General features: G+C 43.1%; 1 protein-coding gene and 1 long non-coding RNA gene across 3 annotated transcripts in view; one reads left to right on the top strand and one right to left on the bottom strand.

Annotated features, from left to right (window-relative positions):
• MIR4713HG (MIR4713 host gene) overlaps positions 1-12521 on the top strand; it is a 256425-nt gene that overhangs the window by 12124 nt on the left and 231780 nt on the right. The window lies entirely within an intron of this gene.
• Positions 6990-12521, bottom strand: part of TNFAIP8L3 (TNF alpha induced protein 8 like 3) — a 48676-nt gene continuing 43144 nt past the window's right edge. For both annotated transcript variants that reach the window (NM_207381.4, NM_001311175.2), the window contains one exon: positions 6990-8832. In NM_207381.4, the coding sequence (NP_997264.2) occupies positions 8270-8832 (563 nt within the window). In that variant the 3' untranslated portion in view covers positions 6990-8269. The remainder of the gene's footprint in view (positions 8833-12521) is intronic.

Raw genomic sequence — 12521 nt, forward strand, 5'->3', positions numbered from 1 at the left:
GTGTTTCACAGTTTTGAGATCCTCTGCCCTATGTAATGCCTGAATTCCTTCTATGGCAACCCCAGCACATGGCTATTGACTCTGCATCCTCAATGGGGCTGCAGGATGATGAGGGAGTGGCCAGACTCTGGCAGCCAGGTTGTCCTTAACATTTTGCAGAACCCACTTCCCCACAGAGGCCACCCCTGTTAAGAGGCTGATGAGGCTTCATCTCAAGAGAATGTTGAGGTGGGGGACATAGATGGAGCTTGAGGCTCAATCTAGGATGCGGTTCGGCAAAATGAGTCAGTCATGCATATAAATGGGATTTGCTTGATCTGAATCTAAGACCATAGAGCAGTTACAATATTGAGAAATTCTTATTTGTGATATTTTGGGGAGAAAATCAACTTTTATGTTGCTAATAAGGTCTCATGGGGGTAGAGAGGTGATTGATAAGGTATTGGGCTTCTTTCTGAGATAATGAAAATGTTCAAAAGTTGCCTGTGGTTAGGGTTGCACATATTAATGAATACTCATACACTGACAGGGATTCATTCTGAGAAATGCGTCATTAGGTGATTTGATTGTTGTGCAAACATCATAGAGTGTACTTACAAAAACCTAGATGGTGTAGCTTACCACACACCTAGGATATATGGTAGAGCCTATTGCTCCTAGGCTACAAACTTGTACTGCATGTTACTGAACTATATACTGTAGGCGACTGTAACACAATGGTAAGTATTTATGTATCTAAAATACCTAAACATAGAAAAGGTACAGTAAAAATACAGTAGAAAACATAAAAAGTGGTACACCTGTATGGGGCACTTAACCATGAATGGAGCTTGCAGGACTGGAAGTTTCCCTGAGTGAGTCAGTGAGTGAGTGTTGAGTGAATTTGAAGGCCTAGGACATTATTGCACACCTCTATAAACTATAAACAATGTACGTTTAGGCTACACTAAATTTATAAAAAATATTTTTCCTTCAATAAAATTAACCTTAGCTTACTGAAACTATAAACTTTTAAATTTTTAAAAAATATTGACTCTTGTGTAACAACACTTAGCTTAACACACACATTGTATAGCTACACAAAATGTTTTCTTCCTTTATGTCCTTATTCTACAAACTTTTTCTATTTTTAAAATTTTTACTTTTTAAACTTTCTTGTTAATAAACTAAGAAACAAACACACACATTAACCTAGGCCTACAAAGGGTCAGGATCATGAAGACATCACCAAGTGACAGGAATTTTTCAGCTCCATTATAATCCTATGGGATGACTGTTGTCTATGGGGTCAGTTATTGACCAAAACGTCCTTATGTAGCGCATAACACATCACAATTCAAAAAACCATTGAATTGTACTCTCAAACTGGTGCATTTTATGTTATGTGAACTATATCTTTATAAAGCTATTTCTAAAAAAGGACTGAGAATTCCATAAAATGTTTCATTTGTTGGTGGAATGGCTTCATTAATATATTTTAAAATAATTCTCATAGCATCCTATGATATTTGACTCAAATCAATATTGACTTATTCATGACTTTGCTTATACCCTGTTCTCTGTCCAGAGACCTATTACTGGAGTCTGACACAATTTTGATCTGTAATGCATGTCTCAGTAGAGGGTTGAGCCTAACATTGAACCCCAGCGGGCTCCTGCTGAGTTGGCTAATTGGCTGACTCCCTGGGCCAACAGTGTGTAGTTCTCTGGTGTTTATGGAGTCTTGATTTTACTTTTCATTTTTCTGGCTTAAAGCTTTTCCCCTTTGAAATCCATCAACTAAGATCTTCATTCAAAAGTTCTGAAGAGGATCATTGAGGAGTCATTTTTCAATTCGGAGGCTATTGCTCTGTTGAATAATGAATAGGTTTTCCTTCTAAGAGACCTACAGTGCAGAAATGCCCAGAGCTTCTCTTCTATGCTGCTTGGAAGAACTATGGAACTGGAAGGATTCTTAAAGACCTTGTACAACTCCCTGCTTTTGCAGTTGAGGAAACTGAGGCTTGGAGAGGTGAAGCATAAGGAAATCCCTGGCTAGTGGGCAAGCTAAGACGAATCCTCCTGACCCATGGCTGGCTCCATGTTCTACATTTTCTGTTGTCTGTGAAAGCTGAAAAGACAGCAAACCCCAAAATATCCATCTCCCTCATCTCCCCCAACCCAAAGCCAACAATCTATTTCTAAAATCAAGTTGTCACTATTTCTGAAACACAAAGTAGGGGAAGCCCCATCCCATGGCTGAGAGGAAATGTGACGCTCTTACAGGGAAGCCAGCTGCTGGGAGAAGTGGAAAGAGCCCAAGTCCCTCCTCGGGGACCAGCCCACAAGCTCTTCCTTTACCAGTGACAGAGCCTGAGAAAGTGTTTCTCTCCCTAACATAACCTAATTGCCACTTCCCCACTAGCCTCCGGCACTCACTCTGTGCCAAGCTCTGGCTCCTGCCCAGCTGCTCCTTGAGCTGGGAGCCAAACCCCAGACTCCCTTGTCTCAGGAACTGGTCCAGAATGGCCTTAGTAGTCAGCTAAGAAGAGCTCTATATGAAGGCCTGGGAGGGCTGGCTGCCCAGACTCTGGCTGCCTGGGTGGGCTGCCAGGACCCCTCCTCTGTATAGACCTGCCCCAGCTCAGCAAAGGAAGGACATGTAAGGAAAAGGCAAGGCTACCAGTGGAACTGCAGTGCTGTTGGGGGTGGGTGTGAGTCTTTGCACCAGCTGACCTCTCCTTTTTCTGGGGCTGGAAGGAATTTGATGTCACCAGTATCTTAGAGCCACATGCCTCATTCTTCAGGAACAACCTCTTGGGATCCTGGAGGCATACAAGGTCTCCTGAGGCCTTGGACTTGTGTCTGCATGCCAGCAGATGAGGCTGGAACTGTGACAGAGTGTGAGCACGTGCAGGTGACCTCTTCAAATGCTTCTCCCTTGTTCCTTTCCTTGGGAGTCACACTGCCTGATTTGTCCAGTGGTGGACACTCTTGAGCCTTTGAGGTTTAGTATTAGGATTGCCAGCATAGGTTGGTCAATTTTTAATTTGATTTCTATGTTGATATGGTTTGAATGTGTGTCCCCTCTAAATCTTAAGTTGAAATGTAATCCCTGGTGTTGGAGGCGGGGCCTGGTGTAACGTGTTTGGGTCAATGGGAATGGATCCTCCATGAATGTCTTGGTGCTGTCCTCCCAGTAATGAGTGAGTTCTTGCTCTGAATTCATGTGAGATCTGGTTGTTGAAAAGACAGGTTGTTAAAAGAGAGCATCTCCTCTCTTGCTCCTTTGCTCCCTCTCTTGCCATGTGACATGCCTGCTCCCACTTCACTTTCTGCCATGAGTAAAAGCTCCCTGAGTGCTCACCAGGATCACATGCTGGCACCATGCTTCCTGTACAGCCTGCATAACCATGAGACAAAATAAACCTTCTGTCTTTATAAATTACACAGCCTCAGGTATTTCTTTATGGCAATGCAAGCAGACTAACACATATGTGGTAGCTTCTTTTGGCCAGGTTTCAAAGGGCAGGCAGAACATGTGGCAGCTGACCTGCACATAGAATGCAGACCTATGTGTGCTTCAGACACATGGCTCACCTCTCAACCTTCAAGCCCCCACAAATAAGTCACTGTTTAGGGGAGGGTGACATTCATTCTCTGCAAGCCTCCACATTCGTATGTCGTAGCAATGTTTCTCTAAATTGAGTACTCACAGACCCTGCAAGTTCCCCCTGCAGACCTCTAGGTGATGTCAGACCTTAAACACATGAAGTTAAATTCTTTTCTTTCACCTGCCGTGCTCAGTCAGCATGAGTGATGTTGTAAACACAAACTCAGAAACTCAGACTGAAGCCAGATGGCACCACATGGCTATAAGGTCATTCCCAAATGATGTGGAACATACTTATGTTGATTTTAATTTTTTTAAAAAGTTGTCAGAATGAAACAAAAACTTAAAAACTTATTTTGGAACTCATGGACTCCACCTACCCCTTCTCCCCACCTTGCCCTCAGGACTTTCAGAGATTCATAGATGCTATTTTGAGGAATAGTGTTGTAGAAGATTCTCTCTCCCCTTCCCCTACCCTTGCCAACAAGCAAGACCTCCCTCTAAAGAAAGAGCATGAGCTGGCCCCAGCTTGGGCTGTGGCTCATGTAGCAGGGTCAGATTAAACAAGCAAAATCCAGTTGACCATTCAACTCCCAGTTGGGAGGGCCTTGGCAACCCTCTTCTCGAAGGCCATCTGATTCATAACTTTATTGTCAACATTCTGGTCCATTGTTGGATAGCTCCTGTTAGTGCAATGTTTTCACAGCTAAAGTTGAATTTTCACTGATTGGTTTTGGTCTTGACCTCTGGGATCATGTTGAATTAAAAAAAGAGAAAAGTCCTAAAAATATTGGGGCAAGGCTGGGCACAGTTGGCTCGCTCACGTCTGTAATCTCAGCTCTTTGGGAGGATGAAGTGGGAGGATTGCTTAAGGCTAGGAGTTGGAGACCACCTTGGGCAACATAGCGAGACCCCCGTCTCTACCAGAAAAAAAAAAAAATTAGCCAGGCGTGGTGGTGCATACCTGTAGTCCCAGCTACTCGGGAAGTTTAGGCAGGAGGATTGCTTGAGCCCAGGAGTTTGAGGCTTCAGTGAGCTGTGATCATGCCACTACACTCCAACCTGGGTGACAGAGGAAGACCTTATCTCTAAAAAGTAAAAAAATTAAAAAAAGATATTGGGACAGAGGGCACATAGGCCTGATTTGAGCTCTTTTCTTTTTTAAAATATAAATGGATGCAATAAGTTCATTGGAGCAGCCAATGAATGTACTGATTTGATTCTATAAAATGTACAGATGGGAGAGATGAGAGTTTGAAGAAGCACAGATGGAGAAGTCTTTTCATTTTGTCACTGAGCAGAGACCTGGAGTTACTGAGGGTGTCAAGACCCACAGATGCAAACACAGAGAAGAGTGGTACAGACACATGGCAGGTGGCAGCTGGCAGGGAATGTGTTTCTGCAGGGCTCAGATATATGAGGAAGGACACGCACAAAAGGGCTTGATGAGGATTTCAGCACAAGTCCCTGGTGTCCTCCTGTGGGGACAGAGCTGAGTGTTCAGGGATGGTTGAAGACCCAGTGATGTTTCCAGATGACTGATGCAAGCTGCTCCTGCCACTCCTCAGCCTTAAAGAATGTCACACCCCTACCTGGTTTGCTGAATCAGGCATTGCTGTCTGAAGTCTGTGTGGGGCTAGATCAATTGAGCCATCTTGTACCATTGCTTCTTTTGAAATTACTTTCCCATCACTTTGCAAAATGATATGTTTGTTATTGGGGACCTAAAAATGTAGCTATTCTAACTCTGCTTTTGTGGGTTCTCATATTGAGAGTTTTGTACAGAGCTCTGAGCACAAATTCACATCTAGAGTCCTGCTTTCCAAAGCATCTGCTGGCCTCTGTCACATTTTTTTCAGCCAAAACAGCCTTTCAGGGCCACCAGGTGATGTGGTTAGAGTACTTAGGATAAACCAATAGGACTGTATAATGAGAAGCTAGCTTTGGTCACTAGACTGTTATGTAAAATATTTGAAATTTGTAGGCCTTTCAGCTGCTTGATGAAATTCAAGAATCACTTGATTTAGATGCAAATCGTATGTTTGAAATGTGCACATGGGATTGGTTTTGGCTTTGTATTTTTAGAGGAGTTCTTGTGCCCAGGTAGCCCAGATCCCCACTGGTTGCTGCTGCTAAATCTGGGGGTCTTAGGTAGACAGCCCACTGGCTCCCTCAGCGGAGAGCCTAAGGTAACAGAAAATGTTTTGGTCCACACTCTGCCATTGCACTTGGTGAGATTCACTGGTGGAGGTGCTGATCCTTCCTTGACCAAAGCAGAAAGGACCCAGTTTCCTTAGAGACTTGTGGGCTGTCAGAACCCAACTCAGCCTTCTTCCTACACCATTGTTGTGCTGTGGCCTGCAGAGCCAGGAGAGAACCCAACACCTTCTTTAGCTGAGGATCCTGCTTTCTTCCCCACTGTATCTCACACGGACAGAAGACAAGTTCACTCATTCCTCTTGGGTCCGAGTTCTCTGTAATGGTCCACTTAATGAACAGTGAACCTACTTCTAGAACCATCTTTTGAACAAGAAAACAGTCTTTTGTCAGATAAATACATCAAGGCAAACCTTGAAGACAGCATGAGAAAATCCAGCACTGCTGGACTGGTGCCTTGCAGGCAGGTGGGAAGGAAGGGGAGCCAACTGCCTGTAGTTCCCACCAGCAGTGCCAAATGACCAGCCATCTCCCCAGCCCAGGTGTGCACAGGGCATCATTGTTCAGCCCTTGGGTTTGAGTAGAGGGCTAGGCCATGTTTGTCCAATATGGAGAACAGGGGTTGGCCTTACTCCTCCATATTCCATACTGAATAGCCTTCCTATGAACTAATTCTGGCTGCGTGGCTGAAGAACGTAACTAGATGGTTTGCTATGATGTTGACATGAGAGCCAGCTGAGGCTGAATGGCCAGCGAGGCTCAGTGGACATTGTTTCACACCTCCCCACAAACCATCTCTTGATGCTCCTGCTGGAGATAGACTGTGGGGTGGGATGAACCATAGGGCTGTGCTAGTATGGTATTTTTATATTATCATTAGAAGAGAAGCAGAGGAGGATGGAAGGAAAGGCAAGAGGAGCAAGTCTCTTAATGTGGCACAGTGTTGAAAGGAAGTACATTGTTGCTGACGTTGGTTAAGACTATGATGAAAAGATGTCAGAAGCTGCACTGTGAAAGCAAGGCTGTGACATTTGGAGAAGGTGGTTTGTGTCTGTGGACTAGCTCCCCACTGACCATCTCACAGATCCACCCACTTGTGCTCCCCTGAATCTACCTCCTCTTGGGGTTCGAGTGCAGAACTCTTGCTCTTCATTTTCTTCTTCTTTTCAATCCTGTTATTCTTAACACTGTATTTAACTCCAAGGAATTTTATTTTGAATCACAACTCTAAGATCTCTTGTTTGGAGGGCAGTTTCAATTTATTAATGAACCAGAGAAAACAGCACAAAATGACTGAAAAGCCAAGAAAGATGGGTAGGGGTTCATTCTGCCTGATTCTCCCGTGCATATGGAATAAAGCCTCCCTGAGCTCCATGCCCCTTAGATAAGGGAAGGCTGGTCCTGCAGAGGGAGCACAGTGCTTCTCTGTTTCTATATTGTGGATGGAAAACTCTCTCTCCCCACCCCCCCATGGAAAGTTTCCCTCTGCAGGATCATCAACCTGAACATCTAAGACCTCAAAAACACCTCTTTTTAAAAAAATTATTATTATTATTATTATTTTTTAGAGACAGAGTCTTGCTCTGTTGCCCAGGCTGGAGTACAGTGGCGTGATCTCAGCTCACTGCAGCCTCCATCTCCCAGGTTCAAACAATTCTCCTGCCTCAGCCTCCTGAGTAGCTGGGATTACAGGCGTGTACCACCACGCCTGGCTAATTTTTGTAATTTTAGTAGAGATAGGGTTTCATCATGTTGGCCAGGCTGATCTTGAACTCCGGACCTCAGGCAATCTGCCCACCTCGGCCTCCCAAAGTGCTGGGATTACAGGTGTGAGCCACCATGCCTGGCCAAAAAGACGACTCTTGAAACACATTTTTCCAATTTGCAGCTATACTTTTTCACACCTTTGGATTTCACTTTGTCTGAAGCAGTGCATTTAGAGAGAGATTGCAAACCCAGTCCATTAGATTCTATTGTTCTTTTCTCCTATGCTGCTTAATAGTCTACATCCAGGTTTATCCCCTCACACTCAGAAGACAAAATATTAAGACTTTAAATTAGAGATTCCAAAAGTATGAACATACATCATCTCATCTGGTCCTCACAACAGCCCTGTGAGGCAGGCAGGCAGGCATCATGGTTCCAGAATGCAGAGGACAGAGTCCTAACTGGTTAAGCTGGAAACCAAATCCATGTCCTCTGTCTCCTGGTTTAGTGCTCCTCCCACTCCATGAGATGAACAGCACTCACTGTAATGAACAAAACAGCCTTTCTGCTTAGAATAGATGAAATGTCCTTTGGGCTTGCACACAGGTGATTTTAAGTAGAAACCTTGCTAGAAAGCTTGGAAGAAAAACACACCTGAGCTCAGTTCAGCATCAGAATCAGCATCAGAGGGATGAACAGGAAAGAACATGGACATCTTTGACAAGGGTTTCTGCTTATGTTCTTGATTCTCACCCAGATCATGGTTGAGTGCTGTAACTTTAAAGCAGCAAAGTCCAGTAGGAGGGAAGGCATTTAAAGGACTTTCTCATCTAGCAACTTATTGATTCCTTCACAAATCCTCTTGAGGTTGGGCCTACAGTCTCCATCCAGACTATAGAGGGTGGAGAGGAACTCCACATCGGCAAAGTGGTTAAAGACGTGGTTGATGCGCCCGTGGGTCCTGGGCGTCAGGTGCCGCTGCACCAGTTCATGCACCAGGTCCTTGCACTCATGCAGGAGATTGGAGAGCACGTTCCTATCGAAGGTGTATTCCACCTCATAGAAGCTGACAATGGTCATGGCGGTCTGGTTCAGCTTCTTCCGGAACTTCTCCACAATAACCAGCTCCTCTTGGCTAAACTGGTTGTTCCGGTAGAGGATCCCGATTTTGATCGCCACCTTGATTAAGTCTTTCATGATCTTGTGGGCTTCCTTCTTGTTGTGTGTGTGCTCTTTGGTGACTTTGTAGAGCTCATCAAAGATCTCGCTGCTGGTGTCATCAATCAACATGTTGGCCACAGTTTTGCTGGCTATTTTGCTCAGAATCTTCTTCTGGGCTTGAAGCGCAAGACTCTTTGAACTAAAAACATCAGGACCTATGGTAAAAAAAATATATATAAAAGTTTTAGAAATATAAGAACTGTCTGTTACTTTTCCACAAGTAAAACACACTAACTTGAACTTATGTTCTTAGAGCAAAAACTCATGTCTTTATATTCCCTCGCTCCCTAACTAAACCCCACCCCAGCCTGGTTCCCCCACTTTCCTCTCCACATGATATGCTTTGTTTACCCTTTTTAATCCTCTAAACTGTGCTTATGCTCCTTCCTCTGCTGGAGGTCATCTCCTCTTATCCAGGCCAAATCTTACCTTTTTAAACCTACTTCATTCATAAAGCCTTCCTGATTCTACTAGCTCACAGAGAACACTCTACCACTGCTGTCACGCTGGAAACCATTCAGCTTTGCAAACTATACAGGAGCAAATTATTGCTTAATGGCACGAATGTAGCCCCATTGTCAACCCCATTCCCAGGGCAGACATGGATAGTTGATCATGACAGTCATTTTGACTGAGTCTCAGAACCCACATATCATTGGGTCTAAGAGGTATTCTTTTGCTTTTGAAATATTGAAAATTGGATGGGTCTTTCAGTTACTGTTGCCAGGTAGCTGTTGTGCTGTGGTTGTTATTACCTGTGTGCACATCAATTTACACAAAAGTTGTCAGAGATTTGGGAGAAAGTCAAGAGAAATTTTTGTAAGAAATGTTGCCTCCTGAATACTCTTGATGGCATAGAGAGTTGTACTGTGGGAACACAGACATCAGTAACTCCAAATCAAAGATGCTAGAGATGAGTAGTACTCTGAAGGTGAAGCAGCTTAGGAAAACCAGACCCAATTTATTTTGCTGTTATTTTCTACTTTATGAATGAATGAGAGCAATATATGTTTAAAAAAATCCACAATATTATATGCAAAGAAGTCTAAAAAGCCTCTTTCAATAAGTATAAATAAAAATTCTAACTAATAAGAAAGAAATGGTTCATAATTTATAGCGTATTTTTTTCTTAAGAACACATAAAATGGCATCTTACAATTGATGGTGTTTTGATTTGATGAAATACTCTACAAGGCCACCAATTAGCTGGAGCTGACATCTGAAATGAAACCCACTGGCTATCCTCACTCTACAGTATGTATGTATATTGTTCTTATCTTCCCAAGGAGATTCAAATTGCCCAAGGACAGAGGCAATGTCTCCCACAGCACCTAGCTCGTTCTGAGCATAGGGAATGGTGCTGTTGAGTAAAATACAAGAGAAATGCAGAAGAATAAGAAAGTAGTAAAATACAGTGTACACCAAACTGATACTAAGAAAAACCAATATTCCTTTTGAGAATTGAGGGTCCTGGAGAATCCCAAGAGCTTTTGTCCAGTGCTTTGTGTCCACACAGGAGTGACTGGATAGGCAGAGCAGACAGAGCGACGGCCACATGCCCTGGCTTCTGTTGTCCTTGTCTGGTCCCTCCCTCTCTGCTCCTTCTGGGTCAGCAGAACTAAAGCAGCGAGCACCAGGGGCCTTCCACAGTCCCAGCAAGCTCTCTTCCAAAGTCTGAGACCATAGAATCTTTAAGCAACTTCACACCCAAGTGACCCTGACATGGCCAGGCTTTTCCCTTCTGCCTCAGTGCTAAGAGGAATAAACACTCATTGTGCAGAACATAAAAGGAATGAACAATCTCTCCTGACTCTTCTTTACTATGAGAAAGCTCTGACTTCCTGACTGATGCTATTCCAGAGTTTGAGGCAAATGATATTCCTGCCCAGTCTCATCATCTACCATGATCACTAGAGCTTTGTGTGAATAGCTTTTGTTCTCTGCAAAATCAAAGTTGTTCTCCAAAAGCAAATATTTACAAGCACTAAGCATATTCAGAAGATTGCACTGTATGCTTTGAAGTCAATTCCACAGATGAAGCTTAAAGACTTTTGAGTAATCGTCCTGTCACTGAAATAAGTATATGCCTCCTCAGGTGACTATTCTAATAGGAATAGTGGAATGTAGATGGATCCATTCTAGAATATAAAAAAATGAGTCATGGCTTTGTAGTCACAGCTTCTAAAAACTGCCCAAGAATAAGTCTTTAGACTCTCTAGAAATGCAGCCAACATGCATTTACACAGAAGCAGCAGGTCAACTACATATGCATCCAGTGGCAGGTTGGTGCCTGAGGGCAGGGACTTGTGTCTAAGCCTGATTACCCCCAATGCCTGGCACACTGGCCACACACAGCAGGTGTCGGCTGAGCGAAGGGAGTGCTGGTTCTGTGTCAGGCGCTGTTTAACCCTTTGGGCTGGGTTAAGTGGGCATTTTCCCGAGGCTTTCCTGCTGGCCTGATTCCATACCCTGCTGTTTGTACTGCCAGCATTTCCTCTATTCTGCTCTGGACCAGTTGTCAGAGCTCACATATCCCCATAAGATTTATTTTAAAAATAATTAATTGGCTGGGTGCTGTGGCTCATGCCTGTAATCCCAGCATTTTGGGAGGCTGAGGCGGGTGGATCAGTTGAGGTCAGGAGTTTGAGACCACCCTGGCCAACATGGCTAAACCCCATCTCTATTAAAAATACAAAAATTAGCCAGGCATGATGGCATGCATCTGTAGGCCCAGCTACTTGGGAGTCTGAAACACGAGAATTGCTTGAACTGGGGAGGCAGAGGTTGCAGTGAGCTGAGATCGTGCCACTTCACTCTGGCCTGATCAAAAGAGCAAGACTGTCTCAAAAAAATAATAATTAATTCAATTTATCAACATTTATTTTATTTTGTTTTTTGAGATGGGGGTCTCACTATGGTGGCCTCAAAGCTGGCCTTGAACTCCAGGGCTCAAGCAATCCTCCTGTCTCAGCCCCAAGTAGCTGGGACTACAGGAATGTACACTGTGCCCAGCCCATATAAGAAATTTTAAAAACTGTGTACCTCCTTGAATATTTTAAAACTTGTCAGCAAGTATTTTGCATGTTAAGATTAAATAGTTAGGAAAGATATAATTTCTAGATAATGTAAATAGTGACATTTTCAAATTAGCCTGTTAAATCATTCTTTTAAATGTGTCCAATGTAACGTAAGTACCGTTGTTATATAATACCCATTATTGTACACTTTAAAAATGACATGAACAAGGTCTTCTTTAAAAATTGGAAATGTTACATTTTTTTCTCCTTGAAATTGTATCTCTATTCTACTTCACCCACAGCACTTTAACTTCATGTATGTGCTTTGCTTGAAAATATTTATCAATCCATCATAATTCTCTACAACCAAAGGATGCATATGAATTTAAATTTAAATGAAGAGAAGATTCCAGGGACCATAAATCTCTAGGCAAAAATTAAAAATTTTCCTTTGGAGCGAGTTATCATTTTAATTATTTTAGGTATAATATAAAATATCAAAATTTTGATAACTACTTACTAAACATAAGAAATGAAGTTTTATTGGAAATGCACCTCTAAATAAGAGGGGCAGGGGTGAGGTATGGTGTCTTACCAAAAGAATCATCATTGGCAATGTGAATTTCACATCAACTCTTTGTTTGCCAGGAGGTTTTGTACCCCCAGGGCAAAATGTCCAATTAAAATTTTTTTCTTGGCCACCACACCCTGTAATCCCAGCATTTTGGGAGGCTGAGCTAGGTAGATAGCTTGAGCCTAGGAGTTTGAGACCATCCTGGGCAACATGGCAAAACCCTGTCTCTAGGAAAAATACAAAAATTAGCTGG

Source organism: Homo sapiens, chromosome 15, assembly GCF_000001405.40.
Source record: "Homo sapiens chromosome 15, GRCh38.p14 Primary Assembly".
In the NCBI taxonomy this organism is placed as follows: Eukaryota; Metazoa; Chordata; class Mammalia; order Primates; family Hominidae; genus Homo; species Homo sapiens.